This window comes from Homo sapiens, chromosome 15 (assembly GCF_000001405.40).
Source record: "Homo sapiens chromosome 15, GRCh38.p14 Primary Assembly".
Classification (NCBI taxonomy): Eukaryota; Metazoa; Chordata; class Mammalia; order Primates; family Hominidae; genus Homo; species Homo sapiens.
Window position 1 is genome coordinate 58,348,365 of NC_000015.10, and position 20,002 is coordinate 58,368,366.

A 20,002-nucleotide genomic window follows, 5' to 3' on the forward strand; every position below is an offset into this window, starting at 1 on the left:
TCTGGCCTTGGTTGATAGCAGAAAACAGGGATAATGCAAAGTATTCCTGAGAAAAAGCACCAAAACCTTGTGCTCAAAAGTGGTGAACATGGCCAAGAGAAGGCCAGAATTCTTGAAGCAATGACAGGTGCAGCCTCTACAGGGGACCTCCATAGTGCTGGAGAGAATATTCAGCAGGGACAGGGATTCATTCCCTATTGAATCCATGGCAATCAAGCTCTGTGTCATATGTTCTTTCAATCAAGCCAAGGCCTTATGTCTTTTTGAGACTCTAAACACAAGTGAGATGGGGGACACCAGGATGAGGCAAGAAGAGATTGGCTGAGTCATTTGCAAACAAGAAGAAATTTGCTATATGATACAGGATAAAGTAGCAGGTGCTAAACAGGAAGTAATTGAGATCATTGAAGGGGAATACAAGCCAGACATTTTTTTTTCAAATTTTTTTCTATTTGATTCTGTGTAAATATTATAACTATAGTCTAGAATATCTTTCTAATGTTGATGAACTGACATATGGGGAGGGAAGAGAACTTTCTCATCAAAGGTGAGGAGAAGCCAAAGCCACAGAAGAGCGGCTCCAGCCCCTGGCTGCCCCAGGCTCAGGTGTCCAGCTGTGGACACTCACTCATGACTAAATGCTGCATATTTCCCGGAAACTCCAGGGCCCAATTTGGGTTGATGAATCCCTTTGTTTTGATGGAGGGAACAAGGTGTTTTCATTTTTTCCTTTAAAATTTTTCTTTTCTTTTCTTTTTCTTTTATTTATTTATTTATTTTTTTTGAGATGGAGTCTCACTCTGTCGCCCAGGCGGGAGTGCAATGGCACAATCTTGACTCACTGCAACCTCCACCTCCCAGGTTCAAGTGATTCTCCTGCCTAAGCCTCCCCAGTAGGTGGGATTACAGGCATGCACCACCACGCCCAGCTAATTTTTGTATTTTTAGTAGAGAGGGGGTTTCACCATGTTGGCCAGGCTGGTCTCGATCTCCTGACCTCATGATCTACCCACCCTGGACTCCCAAAGTCCTGGGATTACAGCAGTGAGCCACTGCGCCCAGACTTAAATTTTTCTTTTTCTTTTTTTTTTTTTTTTTTTGAGATGGAGTCTTGCTCTGTTGCCCAGGCTGGAGTGCAATGGCGCGATAGCCCACTGCAACCTCCGCCTCCCATGTTCAAGCGATTCTCCTGCCTCAGCCTCCCAAGTAGTTGGGATTACAGGCACCCACCACCATGCCTGGCTATTTTTTTTTTTCAGTAGAGGTGAGGTTTCGCCATGTTGGTCAGGCTGGTCTCGAACTCCAAACCTCAGGTGATCCACCCGCCTCGGGCCTCCCAAAGTGCCGAGATTACAGGCGTTGAGCCACTGTGCCCAGCCTTAATTTTTTCTTATCAATTTTTAATCAGTAAAGTAACTCACGCTTGTGGCAACTGAAACAAATGTTGATATTTATCGTTCCTTAAATGTCTATAGTTTTATTTTCTTTAAAACAGGGTTATCTACACATATGACTCTACATCCTACTTTTTCCATTTAACTCCTGCAAGTCAATGCATACAGATCAAACTCTTTTTAAGTAGCTACATCCCAGTGTGTAGTGTGAACTTGATATTTTATTCCATTATTTCCGATTTAATGAATACTCCAATTATTTTCTGCTGTGTTGTGGTTTATTTGATTTATGTCTTGGCTACTACACACATTACTGGATTAAGCATTTTTATAGATACATCCTTACACAAGGGACCTTTCTTTTCTGAAGAAAATCTACAAAAATGGAATTGCTTGGAAATGGTGATGTGTTCTTTTTAAAATAGATATTACCAAATTACTTTCTGAAATTAGAAATCCAACCCCCACCAAAAGCAAAATACGAAAATGTCAGTCTTCCCACATCTTCATCAGTACTCCCCTTTTATTATGACTTTGGCTGTTTTCTAAAGAATTTGCACCCAGGGAAAAATAAGAAAGTGGGTTACCCCTCCACCTCAGCCCGCAGTGCATCAGCTTCATCAGCTTCTTTACACACAAATATCACCCAAGGTCCACTGTCTTTCCAGAAGTTTGAAAAGCCATTCAAGGTCAGGCATAGTGTAATCCTAGCACTTTGGAATTTCGAGGTGGGAGGATTGCTTGAGCCCAGGAGTTCAAGACCAGCCTGGGCAACATGGCAAAAACCCATCTTTACAAAAAATACAAAAATTAGCCAGGTGTTGTGGCACACACCTGTAGTCCCAGCTACTTGGGGGGCTGAGGTGGGAGGATCACTTGAGCCCAGGAGGTCAAGTCTGCAGTGAGCTGTGACTGCACAACTGCACTCCAGCCTGGGCGACAGAGGGAGACTCTGCCTCCAAAAAAAAGAAAAAAGAAAAGCCATTCAAGCGCATATTTTGTAGTGGACCCTATGATGCAGCCCCAGATCCTTTTTCCAAAACTAAAGACCTTGTCCCCCAGCTTCTGAAAGTGACATGGAGGCCAGCCCCAGCAGTCAGCCATTGGGGAGATGCCTCAGCTGCATGAAAAGTCCCCTCCTCAAGGTCAAGTCATATCCCTGCTTGATACAAGGGTATAAATGCCAGGTTCTCTGGTTTCAACTCAGGACAGTTCTGCAGGGTCACCCCATCTTTAGACCTGCCCATAGGGTCTATGCTACAGCTTCCCTGAGACTACCATGGTTGGACAGTCCCTAATAACCTTCCCACATGCTAGTCTCTGTCTCAGAGTCGGCTTCTCACACAACCCAGAAATGAGATGCACATTTTAAAAGAAAGGAAGTCCCACACAGTACTCATTCGGAGTATCCAACTTATAGAATTCATGACATAAAGTTCTTTTGATTTTGGTGGGCTGATTCTCCCATCTGATGCCTCTGACAAATGAAGACCCCACACGTGTATACCTCTATATTTACTAGATTATACCTTCCCAGAATAGTCGTGTTCATCACTATTGTAAAAGAAACTTGATAGTAGTAGGTAATTCACTAGAACTCTTTTTCATTTTTGCCAATCATTAGGTGAAAAATTGGTTTTCACAGTGTTCTTTTAATTGGCATTACCCCAACAGCTATGGGATGAGAACGTTTTTAAGTGTTTATTTTATTACCTGTTCATATACTTTTCCCATTTTTCCTTTTGTTTCACCTATAATTTTTCTTATTAATTGGTAATAAATGTTTGGATATATGTTGCTTTCTTGACTTTTTAAATGGTGACTTTCATCCCTTTTAACACATTATATGTTGGTTTTTCCAGAATTACTTTAGTTTTAGTTTTAAAAATCCATATATACAGAAGCATATAAAGAAGAAAGTAATAAAAAAATTTTTCTGCTTTGAAGTTCTTAATTTTTCCTTGCAATTCTTCCATTCTCAATTTTCATAATTCAGATAATCTTATTTCAAGCTTTACATATGGTTTTGAATTCTTGGTTTTTCACACAATATCCTATCATAAGCATTTCCCTGGCCCATTAAAAGCCTTAATAAACATATTTTAAATGTTATCATATGAAAAACTATTATTTAATTTAATCCCTTCAAAAGTGTCAGAAATGTGGGTCATTCCCAGTTTCTACCTATTATAAATAATATTATTATGAGCTTCATGTGCATAAATATATTTGCATTCCTAGTTGTTTCCTTACAATTCTCAAGAGTGAAATTAAGTTAAACCTATTAAGAAAGTAAAGGAATAAAGAATGATTACTCCACAGGCAAAGCAGTGGCATACACCACTGTCACTCATTTTTATGATTATTTCTTGACTATATACAAAACAAGGGGTGGATTATTCATGAGTTTTCTGGGACAGGGGCGGGCAATTCCTGGAACTAAGGGTTCCTCCCTATTTTAGACCATATAGGGTAACTTTCTGTCATTGCCATGGCATTTGTAAACCGTCATGGTGCTGATGGGAGTGTATTTTAGCATGCTAATACATTATAATTGGCATATAATGAGCTGTGAGGATGACCAGAGGTCACTCCCATCACCATCTTGGTGTTGGTGGGCTTTGGCTGGCTTCTTTACTGCAAACTGTTTTATCAGAAAGGTCTTTAAGATCTTTATCTTGTACTAACCTCCTATCTCATCCTGTGACTTAGAATGCCTAGCCTCCTGGGAATGCAGCTTTGACCCACCCTCTATATGAGATGGAGTCACTCTGGTTCCACAGCCTCTGACATTTCCCCCTTCCCTTTTATAAGAGAACCCTTAACCCTAAGGGTTGTAGAGGGACAAAGATCCATCTTCTGTAACTTCTTCAGGCTGAATGGGGCGATCATATTCCTGCCTAACTGTTAGGGTCTCTTGTATTCAGGGTAGACAAGAGCTCAGTCAGAAAGCATCAGTATGTCAAGGGCCACTCATAACTCAAGTTCTGACAAAAGATGATATCCAAAGTTGGCCAATCATTGCTGCAGTCTATTTCCTTTGGGTTGGAGGTCTCAGTATCATCCTTTCATGGTTCGCCAGAAAGATGTTATCAGAAAGGGGTCCAGATCCAGACCCCAAGAGAGGTTCTTGGATCTCACACAAGAAAAAATTTGAGGCGAATCCACAGAGTAAAGTGAAAGCAAGTTTATTAAGAAAGAAGGAATAAAGAATGGCTACTCCATAGACAGAGCAGCCAAAACATAGAGACATTTAAAGGCTTTTGTTAATATAGCTCAGCTTATTTTGAGGACTCATTTGCAAACCAATGTTTTACATCTGAAAAGAAATAGTGCAGTGAAAGCATCACACTCAAGCTTGTCCAAGCTTTGGTGGTTGTGGTAGCAGTGGCTTGGGATATTCAATATAAACATATTACATTTACTGTCTATAAGCGACTATTTTGGGTACAAGAGGAATGTGAATAAGGGTGACAGGATCCTGGCCTCAAAGAGCAAAGGATCTGGGAGAAAGATGAACAATCACTGATCAGGTATGACACACAAAAAAATTCAAACAAATCCTTAACAAAATTTTAAGTCGGTTTGTGGAGGGGGTACTATGGTAAAACAAGGCAGTTGGGAAGATAACTTCTTATACTGTGGTCTCAAAAACCTCCTAAAGGGCAGTGGCGCCTTGTTTTTATAATCAATACTAGCAGTACCGTACATTTATACCAAGTCTAGGATTTGGAAAGTGGTTTGAGGATTTTCCATAATTTCCTAGGTTTATGGGTTTTGCATCTTTGCTTTTATGATCTCCTGTTGGCCACCACTTGGTTTCCTTGTTACCAAGTCACTGGCACGCAGCCGCCATATTTTTCCGGTAGAGTTTCATTTTACAGCAGCCCATTCTGCACCAGGGGCTTGAGGACTGCACTGTGTCTTCAAGGCGGGGGCCGCTTACATTCGTTGCTGTTTAGGCTGTTTGCTACTGGCCCCCGGAGGAGGCTCTAGGGGATGGAGGGAGACCTGCCTTGCTGGCTTCCAGCAGCACACGCTTTTTCCCCTACTGAAAAGCTGAAGGGACCTTCAACACCACAACCAAACTTCAACAACTTAAAGACAGCGCTGTGTGACGGCCCTAGAGTCAGAAGTTCTGAATTTGACCTTGGTTTCACCACTTAGCAGCCATCTGATCTGGACAACCTGCTTACACCTCTCACCTTTCTTTCCTCAACTGTAACACAGAGCCAAGAAGGATCATGGAAAGACAAAAAGATAATGGATAGGAAAACACTTAAAAAGAGGAAATTGTCTTTGAAATATCAACATTTATTATGTTTTTAAAAATCTAAATGAAAGATTTTGTAGTCCCTCCTCTCTGAACAAATTCTGATGTCCACACTAGGGGCAGTGGGGGACACTGATGTATTCTTTGTCAATTTTAAAATGCATGGTTTAAAGTGATGTGACAGAAGAACCATTTCTCGAGCTTCATTCTGTCCCTGGAGAGGCAGACTTTAGCTAGCTAAAAACACATTTGAGTGTGTGGCTAAGGTTTTAAAAGTTAAGGGGAAATACGCCGGGACACAGTGGCTCAAGCCTGCAATCCCAGCGCTCTGGGAAGCCGAGCAGGTGGGTCACCTGAAGTCAGGAGTTCGAGACCAGCCTGGCCAACACAGTGAAATCCCATCTCTACTACAAATACAAAAAATTGGCCAGGCATGGTGGCATGCGCCTGCAGTCCCAGCTACTTGGGAGGCTGAGACCAAAGAATTGCCTGAACCCAAGAATCATGCCATTGCACTCCAGCCTGGGCAACAGAGTGAGACTCCATCTCAAAATAAATAAATAAATAAGTTAAGGGGAAACTTGGAAGGATAGCTAAGTGGGAAAGTTTCTTTAGGGTTTACAAGTTGATACCAGGCTTCTCTCCTTAACCACACAGACTTCCAAGCCATCGGCAATTATCTTCCACTCCTTGGTCTATAAAAGGGGCATTCAGGGAGCAGATATTGACATGGTTGGCGGAGGATCAGATACTCAGCCAGGCTTCTGGACAAATGAAGTTCAAAGGATGTGCCAGCAAAGATTTTCAAATAAGAGCTTCTACTTTGTGAGCCTGAGAAGAAACCCGCAGACTTGTTGTTTTATCCCACTTTCACTGGATAGAAAAAACACACATAAAACATACACTTTCTACACACCAAGAGAAGGAAATATTACCCCCAAGTGATTTAGTTAGGCACACCTGGAAGCCAACTCAAAGAGACTACATTTTCATCCAGAGAAGCTCAGGGAAGAGAGAAAAGGGACTAGAACATGCTCCCCAATCAATCTCCCGACCCCGTTGCCACCCAGCCATGTCATCTGTTCCACCACAGTCCCTGAGAGCAAGACCGAGGCTTCCATCCCCACCCCTCCCTCTCCATCCTCACACACATGCCCTGGGCCAGGCTAAGGAGGCGTTGCATGGATCGGCCTCCCTGGCTGTTCACCCCACTCCACTCCCCATCTGCCTTCAAGGATCCTCCCCTGAGCTTAGCAACCTCTGGAGACCCCTACCTGTTCAAGAGTGAAGCCCAGGTCCCCACATCTAATGTCTTCCAAGCACTCCCACCCGCCACTAGGCAGTGCCCAGCCCCCAGCTTTGCTCTCCCCGGGGGCTTCCTCTCACAGCTCTTTCCTACAGATCCTCTTTCTACCTGCAGCCCTGAGATCCCCACACCTGCCTGCACTTGAAAGAGGGTCCAGGCAATTCCCAGGACGCCCTATATATAACTCAGCTCCTGCTCTGTGAATTCACAGCCCTGGTCATGCGGAGCATGCGGAGCCCTGCCTGCTCCCCGCCCAAAAGAAGTGGTATTTTTAGAGGGACTGCAGAGTGAAAAGGGTCAGCACAAGCTGCAGTGGCAAATCCATTGAGTAAAAACACTTAAGTGGAAAATAATAATAATGATGAGAGCTAGTGCTTTCAAAGGCGCCTTCCTATTTGCATGTGCTTTCACATCCATCATCCCTCTGACTCAACATCATTCAGTGGGGAAAGGAAGCAGGTGTTCGCTCCATTTTACAGACAAGAAATATAAAGCTGGAGGAAGTTAAGCGCCTGTGGCAGAACCCAAAACTTGGGGGTTGTTAGTGCTCAAGGCCTCCTTAGCTTCTGGCAATGAAGAGCGAGCACTGGTGAGAGCAGGGAGTTTGAGCCCACCCTGCTGGCCTCCTTTCAGGTTCCAGGCCACCCTGCCCAGCACAGTCAGCCAGCAAAGACAGCGGGCCCACCTGCAAGAGACAGCGCAAGACTCACCCCTCAGCAAACGGGAGCGTGTTGTAAAACAGAATGTCCCAGAGAACAATGTGGAGGCTGGCATCCTGATTAGAGACTCCTACGGAGTGAGGCCTGGCTACCACTAACAACAAACCATAAAAGCCGAGCCGCAAGAGTTATGACCCTCCATCCTCCAGGAAAGCAATAAAACCACGCTCCACATCCTCTGAACTGGGCACAAATGGATGGCCGGTATTGATTATAGACAAAACAAATCAGCCACATACCTTCCCTGCAGCATTTCCCTCCTCCTCTCCCTGACACCCTAAGAGGCGGGTTTTGCCATGTGTAGCTGGCTCTTCTTTCTTCCAACAAGTGGGAAGAACCTGGTCTGGAAGGTGGCTCCTGCCAAGAGCAGAGCCAGCACATGGACCTGTGGATGGGGGTTCTGAGCAGCTGTCTGTGGTGAGGGGCTTATACCAGATAAAAACGCTAGGGCTGCCCTCTTTGGCAGAAGGAAGGGAGCCAGGGTCCAGACACGGTGGCTCACACCTGTAATCCTATCACTTTGGGAGGCCAAGGCAGGCAGATCACTTGAGGCCAGGAGTTCGAGAACAGCCTGGCCAACTGGTGAAATCTCATCTCTACTACAAATACAGAAGTCAGCCAGGTGTGGGCGCACACACCTGTAATCCCAGCTACTTGGGAGGCTGAGGCAAGAGAACTGCTTGAACCCGGGAGGCGGAGATTGCGGTGAGCAGAGATTGTGCCACTGTACTCCAGCGTGGGCAACAGAGCGAGACTGTCACAAAGAAAAAAAATAATAATAAAAGGAAGGAGGGGAGCTAGGGAGGACACCCCTCCAGCTCTTCACCTTAGGCGCAGCACCTCTCTCCCTCAGGCTGCACCCCCTCTGGCAGATAGAGGTGGGGGTCAGGGGCTCTGACACTGCCCAACCTCACAGGAACAAGAAGGGGATTTCCTCTGCATCCCACATGAGCCGGAATGTGGGGGCCCACTTTTCAGGGCCATCTGACTGTTTTCTCCTTCTATTTCTAGCTCCAAAGCTTCGCTGTCTTCTTAGGAACTCACTTCTCCTCCTAGGAAGAGAAAGGTGGGCAACTCTTACGGAGTATTCATCAAAGGAAAAGGGCCCTAAGATGGGAAGGAGACTCCAATATCACAGTACTCCTGCAAACACTGACTCATCTCTCCTGAGGTAGCCCTAAGGAGCAAATGGAAAAACTAGAATTAGGATTAGGGTTAGGATTGCTATGGGTATTTGAGGTAGAATTGGTATTGGCATTAGTATTTGGATTCATATTAGTATTTGTATCCATATTGGTATTAGTATGAGTCTTAGCACTTTATAAGGACAAATAGTGGGTATCACTAACAGCTAGGAAGTCCAGTGCTGTCCCATCTTGTACTCTACTCTCCATACAGACTGGAGATTGTCTCTGGCAGTAAGCACAAGCATGAAGGCTCTTGAGTTCTGTTTAACCCAGGGCCAGCATGGGATGGCAGTGCACCCTCCTGGGGCCCCAAGAGGAGAATGGTACAAGCCAGGTCTTAAGCACAGCTCCCAAAACTTGCGTCAGGTCAGGGTTACAGCAAGACAGTGGGAAATATGTCCAGATATGAGGACAGGAGGCCAGAGTCAATTCTGAATGACATCATAGGATATGATAAGGATTTTTCCTACAAAAATGAGTCACCATTCAGGTCCTGGAAGCTCTCTTAAGTCCCAGGATCCAGGGCCAGGACCCTTTCTCTTGCCCCCACTGCACTACCCCTCACCTGCATGCACACACACACACACAACCACACACATTCTGCAGTGAGCCTCAGTCACCTAACATCACTCTATTGCTTTGAGAACATTCGCAGAGCAGGAAGTCAAGCTTGTTAACTTAGCCAGGGTGAGCTTGAGGCTTGTTCCACAGGCGTCTGTCCCAGGCTGGCTGGTAATACCTCATTCACGGAGACTCTACACCACCTCAGCACTTTTTTGTGACAAGAAACCAAAGCTTCCAGGCTTCCCAAAGCATCAACAGGCCTGCTCTTTATGGGGCCCTTTAGCCTGTGATCAGCCCCGAAGTGCAGAGGTCTTTTGTGGGTAACAGGGCCCAACGTACCTTAGTCACCTTCAGTATCAGATGTCCTCCCAGGAAGGGCCAGCACCTCCCATCCAATCTTACTCTCACCTCACATCATGCATGGGAGGCCTTAGTATGAGACTTCACATCTCTGGGACTTTCCACCGCAGGAGGCCAATCCAAAGCCAAGGGTTTCCTTCTTTCATGTTATTTCATGACATAAAAGAAATCACCCACCCAGCGAGCTAGAGTCTGAAAAATCTGCATATTCCCCTACATTAGCATCCCTTTGATCTGTAAGGATGCAGAGGGAGGCATACCGCACTAGACTGTGGCAGCAGCTTCATCCTTTCCAGTTCATTTCCTACTTCCTGCTTTGTGGGCATAGATTCTCACACATACCTGGAAACCAGGTAAGCATCTGGACCAGTGAAATATGTGACTTCTGGAAGCCCATTAGCAATCAAGCTCTGGTATTAGAGTTAAACCTTTGATAACACAAACAAAGCTGCTTGTGCTTCTATTTCACAGCACTGGAAAGAGTTCTACAATTTCCCAACAAATGATATCTGAAAGCATCATTTTACAGGTGAGAAAATGTAGGGATTCATTTCTCAAAGTACAATCCTCTGGCCAGTGGCATCAGTACAACCTGTGGGCAGATTCTTTCGCTTGCTCCACCCCAGGTTAGCTGAAGCTGGATTCGCAGTGGAAAGGCCTAGGAATCTGCATTTTAAACACACTCCATCCCCGCCCCTAGGCAATCTGTACACCTGACAATGGTCTAGAAGTATAGCTGGCTCATACAGTTCTGAGACCATAACCACCACAATATTGAGGAGACATCAATCTGGATAGCCTCAGAGGCTCTTTTCCTCTCCACTTTGAAGCTTAGCAAGGAGCTAGAGCAGCAGGTCTGTGCTAACCAAGAAAAGACTCTCTGTTCCTGGTCACAGAGCCCCAGAGGTGCCACTTCCTCAACCAGGGAGCTCCACTGATCCACAGAGGTCCCTTGCCCTTCAGTCCCCAACACAGGCAATGAACATCGTGCTACTGGAGCTCTTTCCATGGTGTATAGTCCTGCAAGGTCCAGCCCAGACAGGCCTCTCATTTTATTCCTTCAGCAAACATATATCGAAGGAGCTCTGTGCCAGGCATCGTGCTAGGTACCAGCAACATGATGAAAAAATGGAATGGCATCCAAAAGTGGGGCTCAGTATAGAAGAGCCTGAGAATTGCTTCTCTAGCCCATGGATTAGAGATTAGGTTGGAAAAGGCTTCAGAATTGGGAAACTCCCAGACAGGAGATGGAAAAGGAAAGAGCTCCTCTCAGGATGGCCCTGAAGGGAATATCAGGGAACACAGCCTTAAAAGGGTCTTAAAACCCTGTCCTGGCTAATGACCGTCTGTATGGCCTCAGTCTCATGACCGTCTGTATGGCCTCAGTCTCGGGAAATTGCAGGGGGAATGGTAGCCAACTTGGAAGTGCAATCATGTCCACTTTCCTGCTGTCTTGCCAGCCGCACAGCAGCCATTTAAGACGCAGAATTTCTTTTTGCAGCACATCTTCCCTAAAGTCTGAGTCAGCCTCACCCACATCTATACAACTGCATCAAGCTTTCTGGTAACACACACACACACACACACACACACACACACACACACACACGTCCGAGTAACCCAGAGCCCGCTGCTGCTGCTGTGACCAGGGACTTCCGCACAGAGCTCCATTCCTCCTCCTCCCCCAGTCTCATGTCCATCCTTACGCCCCCACTGGGGGAGTTAGATTTCTGCCTAACATGACCGCTCTGGCACTGCACCTCTCCAGGGTCTAGAGATCTATCCCCAAGCTACTAGTTGACGTCTGCTCCAAGGGGACTCTGGCACCGGCTGTGTGCCTGGTTCCCTCTGCTGTCCTGGCTACTGATGAGAGCAAGGGCTGGAGACTCAGACAGGCCTGAGCTACAACCCACATCTACCACTTACTAGCTGTGTTACCTTGGGCAATTTTCCTAATCTCTCTAAACCTCAGTTTCCACTCTGTGACTTAAGAAAAATGAGACCTACCTTGCAGGTTACATTGTAGATTAGAGATGATCTTCATAACACCAAATATCACAGCTACATACCAGGTGCTGACTACATGATGGCTATTGGTTTGTGTCCTCTGGCTCAAATAACCTCTCTATATCCCCCCAAAGGATCCAGGCATTGAGCTAAATACTCCTTAAGCCCCTACTCTGTGCCAGGCACTTTTCCAGGCACTGAAAATATGCCATGAACAACACACAATTCCTGTCTTCATGAAACTTAGATCCATAATAAAAGAGATAAAGTGCTTGTACTCATTCGCTAGGACTGCCATGACAAAGCATCATAAGTTAGGTGAGCTTAATGACAGAAATTTACTGTCCCCCAGTTATGGAAGCTAGAAATGTGAGAACAATGTGCCGGCAGGGTTGGTTTCCTCTGAGGGCTGTGAGGGAGAACCTGTTCCCTGCCTCTCTCCTGGTTTCTGTAATGACTGGCATTCTTTGCCTTATAGGATGCATCTCCCTATCTCTGCCTCCATCTTCACGTGGTGTTTTCCCTGTGTGCATGTCTGTTTCTGTGTCCAAATTTGCCCTTTCAGAAGGACACCAGTCATACTGGATTAGGGTCCATCCTAATGAACTCATTTTAACTTGATTACTTCCATGAAGATTCTATTTCCTAATGAAGTCACATTCTGAGTTACTGGTATTTCTATTTCAACATCCCTTTCCAGGAGGAAAAAATTCAATCTATAATGGTGCCCCTTTCTGTCCACTTACTCAGTCTCATTTGATTTGTGAGTTGAGTTGATTCCACACAGGAATCCTTCTAAGCCACCTTAATCTCCTAGAATTGGACATATCCAGCAAGTTCAGTTCACGCTATCTCCAAGAACCATCTCTGTCTCTCTTTCATCTGCTCTCAAGAAGGTAAAAGACCCCAACATGGACCTTTCCCTGTCTCAAAAGAGGGACTACATGACCTCCCACAGGGGCTCAGGCCATAGCCCAAGCTCCTCTTCCAGGGTCTCCAGCTCAAGCCACCTGCCCACCACACATGGTGCCTGATGCATGTGCCCTTGCCCCAGGCTCTAGATAAACGGTTTTACTCCCTGCACCCCATATTTCCTCTTACTCAGTCATCTTATATAAATGGAAAAATCATCTCTTTGTGAAATTGACTATCTCCTGCAGCTTAACTTGGAAGAATGTTTACATATTTGGCCCCAGGGAATCATAAACATCTTGCGGCGTATGTTAACAGTTACTACATGACACCATTCATTTTTACGATCTCAAATTACTAAGTGTTCCCACCAGGATCCTCCTCCAGTGGTTAAAAGACTGATGGGCTCAGTTTTCCTCATCAGGCCTCAGAGAAATGACATCATTGGTTCTGGCTTCTCCCCTTCAAAAAAAAAAAAACATCTCATAATGGGAAAAAGCAGAGGAACCAGCCACCAGGAGCAAGTCTTGTTGCAAAATGTCCAGAAATGCCCAAACAGAGGAAGTGTCAGTTAGTACAACTGATCAATGGTTGCAAGGGGTTGCGAGGAGGAAGAGAGGAATATGCCGTGCCCACAGAGGCATTTGGGGCAGTGAAGCTACCCTGTATGATCACTGCAGTGGTGGATAAGTGTTATTATACATTTGTCAAAACCCACGGAATGTACAACATCTACAATGAACCCTAATGTAAACTATAGTCTTTGAGTGATACGGATGTGTCAGTGTAGATTCATCAGTTGTAACAAATGTACCACTCTAGTGTGGTTCGATAGTAAGGGAGGCTGTGCGTATGTGGGAGCTGGCAATACGTGGAAAGTCTCTGTACCTTCCTCTCAATTTTGTTGTAAACCTAAACTGCTCTAAAATATAAAGTGTATTTTTAAAAAGTCAATTACTATAAAAGAATGGCAATCATTAGATTTGGTTTAAAACAGTGGTTTCTAAATACCGGTGAGTAAACCTGAGATGGATGTCAAATACAGACACCTGGAGCCTACCTACTGTCTCAGTCTGTTTGTGCTTCTCTAACAAAACACCTCATTCTGTGTAGTACTTTATAAACAATAGAAATTTTTTTTACAGTTCTGGAGGCTGGGCCAGCAGGTTTGGTGTCTGGAGAGGGTCCCAACTCTGCTACCAAGATGGCACCTTGCTGCTCCATCTTCCACAGGGGAGGGACACTGTCCTCACATAGGAGAAGATGGAAGGGAAAGGGGACAATCCCTTCAACCTCCAGCTCTTATAAGGGCACTAATTCCACTCGTGAAGACAGAGTCCTCATGACTGAATCATCTCCTGAAGGCCACACTTCTTAATACTGTTGCATTGGGGATTAAGTTACCACAAAAATTTTGGAACAGACACCATCATTTAAACCATAGCACCTGCTGAAAATCAGAATCTTATAGTAAAAGGAGAGAATCTGTATTTTAAAAGAATGCAGGGAGACAGGCTGGCAACATGGCCAAATGGGAAGAGCTCTGGTCTGCAGCTCCCAGCGAGATCAACACAGAAGGCGGATGATTTCTGCATTTCCAACAGAGGTATCTGGCTCATCTCACTGAGACTGGTTAGACAGTGGGTGCAGCCCACGGAGAGTGAGCCAAAGCAGGGTGGGGCCTCACCTCACCCAGGAGGCACAAGGGGTTGGGGAACTCCCTCCCCTACCCAAGGGAAGCCATGAGGGACTGTGCCATGAGAAACGGTGTATTCCAGCCTAGATACTACACTTTTCCCACGGTCTTCACAACCCACAGACCAGGAGATTCCCTCAGGTGCCTAAGCCACCAGGGCCCTGGGTTTTAAGCACAAATCTGGACAGCCATTTGGGCAGGTACCAAGCTCGCTGCAGCAGCTTTTTTTTCATGACCCAGTGGTGCCTGGAACACCAGCAAGACAGAACCATTCACTCCCCTAAAAAAGGGGCTGAAGCCAGGGAGCCAAATGGTCTAGCTCAGTGGATCCCACCTCCGACAGAGCCCAGCAAGCTAAGATCCACTGGCTTGAAATTCTCACTGCCAGCACGGCTGTCTGAAGTCAACCTGGGATGCTTGAGCTTGGTGGGGGGAGGGGCGTCCACCATCACTGAGGCTTGAGTAGGCAGTTTTCCCCTCACAGTGTAAAAAAAGCCGCCAGGAAGTTTGAACTGGGTGGAGCCCACCACAGCTTGGCAAAGCCACTGTAGCCAGACTGCCTCTCTAGATTCCTCCTCTCTGGGCAGGAAATCTCTGAAAGAAAAGCAGCAGCCCCAGTTAAGGACTTATAGATAAAACTCCCATCTCCCTGGGACAGAGCACCTGCGGGAAGGGGCGCGGCTGTGGGCGCAGCTTCAGCAGACTTAAACATCCCTGCCTGATGGCTCTGAAGAGAGCAGCGGATCTCCCAGCACAGTATTCAAGCTCTGCTAAGGGACAGGCTGCCTCCTCAAGTGGGTCCCTGACCCCTGTGTCTCCTGATGGGGAGACAGCTCCCAGCAGGGGTCAACAGACACCTCATAGAGGAGAGCTCTGGCTGGCATCTGGCAGGTGCGCCTCTGAGATGAAGCTTCCAGAGGAAGGAACAGGCACCAATATTTGCTGTTCTGCAGCCTCCGCTGGTGATACCAAGGCAAACACGATCTGGAGTGGACCTCCAGCAAACTCCAGCAGACCAGCAGCAGAAGGGCCTGACTGTTAGAAGGAAAACTAACAAACAGAAAGGAATAGTGTAAACACCAACAAAAAGGACATCCACAAAGAAACCCCTTCCAAAGGTCACCAACATCAAAGACCAAAGGTAGATAAATCCACGAAGATGAGGAAAAACCAGCACAGAAAGGCTGAAAATTCCTAAAGCCAGACACCTCTTCTCCTCCAACGCATCACAACTCCTTGCCAACAAGGGAACAAAACTGGACAGAGAATGAGTTTGACGAATTGACAGAAGTAGGCTTCAGAAGGTGGGTAATAACAAACTCCTCCAAGCTAAAGGAGTGTGTTCTAACCCAATGCAAGGAAGCTGAGAACCTTGAAAAAAGGTTAGAGGAATTGCTAACTAGAATAACCACTTTAGAGAAGAACATAAATGACCTGATGGAGCTGAAAAACACAGCATGAGAACTTCGTGATGCATACAAATATCAATAGCTGAATTGATCACGTGGAAGAAAGGATATCAGAGATTGAAGATCAACTTAATGAAATAAAGCATGAAGACAACAGTAGAGAAAAAAGAATGAAAAGGAACAAACAAAGCCTCCAAGAAATATGGGACTATGTGAAAAGACCAAACCTACGTTTGATTGGTGTACCTGAAAGTGACAGGGAGAATGAAACCAAGTTGGAAAATACTCTTCAGGATATTATCCAGAACTTCCCCAATCTAGCAAGACAGGCCAACATTCAAATTCAGGAAATACAGAGAACACCACAAACATACTCCTCGAGAAGAGCAACCCCAAGACACATATAATTGTCAGATTCACCAAGGTTGAAATGAAGGAAAAAATGTTAAGAGCAGCCACAGAAAAAGGTCTCGTTACCCACAAATGGAAGCCCATTAGACTAATAGCAGATCTCTGCAGAAACACTGCAAGCCAGAAGAGAGTGGGGGCCAATATTCAACATTCTTAAAGAAAAGAATTTTCAACCCAGAATTTCATATCCAGCGAAACTAAGCTTCATAAGCAAAGGAGAAATAAAATCCTTTACAGACAAGCAAATGCTGTTACCACCAGGCCTACCTTACAAGAGCTCCTGAAGGAAGCACTAAATATGGAAAGGAAAAACTGGTACCAGCCACTACAAAAATATACCAAATTGTAAAGATCATAGACAGTATGAAGAAACTGTATCAACTGATGGCCAAAATAACCAGCTAGCGTCATAACAACAGGATCAAATTCACACATAACAATATTAATCTTAAATGTAAATGGGCTAAATGCCCCAGTTAAAAGACACAGATTGGCAAAGTGGATAAAGAGTCAAGACCCATCAGTGTGCTGTATTCAGGATACCCATCTCATATGCAAAGACACACATAGGCTCAAAATAAAGGGATGGAGGAAGATTTACCAAGCAAATGGAAAGCAAAAAAATGCAGGGGTTGCAGTCCTAGTCTCTGATAAAACAGACTTTAAACCAACAAAGATCAAAAAAGACAAAGAAGGGCATTACATAATGGTAAACAGATCAATGCAACAAGAAAAGCTAACTATCCTAAATATACATGCAACCAATACAGGAGCACCCAGCTTCATAAAGCAAGTTCTTAGAGATCTACGAAGAGACTTAGACTCCCACACAATAATAGTGGGAGACTTTAACACCCCACTGTCAATATTAGACAGATCAACAATATAGAAAATTAACAAGGATATTAGGACTTGAACTCAGCTCTCTGGACCAAGTGGACCTTACAGACATCTACAGAACTCTCCACCAAAAATTAACAGAATATACATTCTTCTCAGCACCACATCGCACTTTTTCTAAAATTGACCATATAATTGGAAATAAAACACTCCTCAGCAAATGCAAAAGAATGGCTATCATAAGAAACAGTCTCTCAGACCACAGTGCAATCAAATTAGAACTCAGGATTAAGAAACTCACTTAAAACCGTACAACTACATGGAAACTGAACAACCTTCTCCTGAATGACTACCAGGTAAACAACGAAATTAAGGCAGAAGTAAATAAGTTCTTTGAAACCGATGAGAACAAAGGCACAACATACCAGAATCTCTGGGACACAGCTAAAGCAGTGTTTAGAAGGAAATTTATAGCACTAAATGCCCACAGGAGAAAGCAGAAAAGATCTAAAATTGACACCCTAACATCACAATTAAAAGAACTAGAGAAGCAAGAGCAAACAAATTCAAAAGCTAGCAGAAGACAAGAAATAACTAAGATTAGAGCAGAACTGAAGGAGATAGAAATGTGAAAAACCCTTCAAAAAAATCATCGAATCCAGGAGCCAGTTTTTTGAAAAGATAAACAAAATAGAGCACTAGCCAGACTAATGAAGAAAAAAGAGAAGAATCAAATAGACACAATAAAAAATGTTAAAGGGGATATCACCACTGATCCCAAAGAAATACATACTGCCATCAGAGAATACTATAAACACCTTTACGCAAATAAGCTAGAAAATCTAGAAGAAATGGATAAATTCCTGGACACATACACCCTCCCAAGACTCGAGCAGGAAGAAGTCAAATCCCTGAATGGACCAATAACAAATTCTGAAATTGAGGCAGTAATTAATAGCCTTCCAACCAAAAAAAAAAAAAAAAAAAAAAGCCCAGGACCAGATGTGTTCACAGCTGAATTCTATCAGAGGTACAAAGAGGAGCTGGTATCATTCCTTCTGAAACTATTTCAAACAGTAGAAAAAAAGGGACTCCTCGCTAACTCATTTTATAAGGCCAGCCTCATCCTGATACCAAAACCTGGCAGAGACACAACAAAAAAAGAGAATTTCAGGCCCATATCCCTGATGAACATTGAGGTGAAAATCCTCAATAAAATACTGGCAAACCAAATCCAGCAGCACATCAAAAAGCTTATCCACTGATGATTAAGTCGGCTTCATCCCTGGGATGCAAGGCTGGTTCGACATATGCAAATCAAAAAAATGTAATCCAATCACCGTAAACAGAACCAATGACAAAAACCACATGATTATCTCAATAGATGCAGAAAAGGCCTTCAATAAAATTCAACACCCCTTTCTCCCAAAAACTCTCAATTGACTAGGTATTGATGGAACGTATCTCAAAATAATAAGAGCTATTTATGACAAACCCACAGCCAATATCATACTGAATGGGCAAAAGTTGAAAGCATTCCCTTTGAAAACTGGCACAAGATAAGGATGCCCTCTCTCACCACTCCTATCCAACATAGTATTGGAAGTTCTGGCCAGGGCAATCAGGCAAGAGAAAGAAATAAAGGGTATTCAAACAGGAAAAGAGGAAGTAAAATTGTCTCTGTTTGCAGATGACATGATTGTATATTTAGGAAACCCCATTGTCTCAGCCCAAAATCTCCTTAAGCTGATAAGCGACTTCAGCAAAGTCTTGGGATAAAAAATCAATGTCCAAAAATCACAAGCATTCCTATACACCAATAATAGACAAACAGAGAGCCAAATCATGAGTGAACTCCCATTCACAATTGCTTCGAAGAGAATCAAATACCTAGGAATCCAACTTACAAGGGATGTGAAGGGCCTTTTCAAGGAGAACTACAAACCACTGCTCAAGGAAATAAGAGAGGACACAAACAAATTGAAAAACATTCCATGCTCATGGATAGGAAGAATCAATATTGTGAAAATGGCCACACTGCCCAAAGTAATTAATAGATTCAGTGCTTTCCCCATCAAACTACCATATACTTTGTTGCCAGAACTAGAAAAAAAACTACCTTAAAGTTCATATGGAACCAAAAAAGAGCCCATATAGCCAAGACAATCCTTAGCAAAAAGAACAAAGTTGGAGGCACCACGCTACCTGGCTTCAAACTATGCTACAAGCCTACAGTAAACAAAACAGCATGCTGCTGGTACCAAAACAGATATATAGAATAATCAAACAGAACAGAGGCCTCAGAAATAATGCTACACACCTACAACCATCTGATCTTTGACAAACCTGACAAAAACAAGAAATGGGGAAAGGATTCCCTATTTAATAAGTGGCCTTGGGAAAAATGGCTTCAGAAAACTGAAACTGGACCCATTCCTTACACCTTATACAAAAATTAACTCAAGATGGATTAAAGACTTAAATGTAAGACCTAAAACCATGAAAACCCTGGAAGAAAACCTAGGCAATACCATTCAGGACATAGGCATGGGCAAAGACTTCATGACTAAAACACCAAAAGCAATGGCAACAAAAGCCCAAATTGACAAATGGGATCTAATTAAACTAAAGAGCTTCTGCACAGAAAAAGAAACTATCATTAGAGTGAATAGGCAACCTACAGAATGGGAGAAAGTTTTTGCAATCTATCCATCTGACAGAGGGCTAATATCCATAATCTACACAGAACTCAAACAAATTTACAAGAAAAAGACAAAAACCCCATCAAAAAGTGGGCAAAGGATATGGACAGAAATTCCTCAAAAGAAGACATTTATGTGGCCAAAAAACATACGAAAAAAAGCTCATCATCACTGGTCATTAGAGAAATGCAAATCAAAACCACAATGAGATATCATCTCACA

General features: G+C 44.1%; 4 annotated features.

The window, feature by feature from the left end:
* Positions 9,408 to 9,487: an enhancer, noted in NCBI's record as "active region_9466". NCBI's record gives its function as "activates an Ori minimal core promoter by ATAC-STARR-seq in GM12878 lymphoblastoid cells {active_cell/tissue: GM12878}" and the evidence as "EXISTENCE:reporter gene assay evidence [ECO:0000049][PMID:35858748]".
* Positions 14,463 to 14,522: an enhancer, noted in NCBI's record as "active region_9467". NCBI's record gives its function as "activates an Ori minimal core promoter by ATAC-STARR-seq in GM12878 lymphoblastoid cells {active_cell/tissue: GM12878}" and the evidence as "EXISTENCE:reporter gene assay evidence [ECO:0000049][PMID:35858748]".
* Positions 14,593 to 14,672: an enhancer, noted in NCBI's record as "active region_9468". NCBI's record gives its function as "activates an Ori minimal core promoter by ATAC-STARR-seq in GM12878 lymphoblastoid cells {active_cell/tissue: GM12878}" and the evidence as "EXISTENCE:reporter gene assay evidence [ECO:0000049][PMID:35858748]".
* Positions 14,782 to 15,282: an enhancer, noted in NCBI's record as "H3K4me1 hESC enhancer chr15:58655345-58655845 (GRCh37/hg19 assembly coordinates)". NCBI's record gives its function as "activates a minimal SCP1, AML or CMV promoter by ChIP-STARR-seq in primed H9 embryonic stem cells {active_cell/tissue: H9 hESC(primed)}" and the evidence as "EXISTENCE:reporter gene assay evidence [ECO:0000049][PMID:30033119]".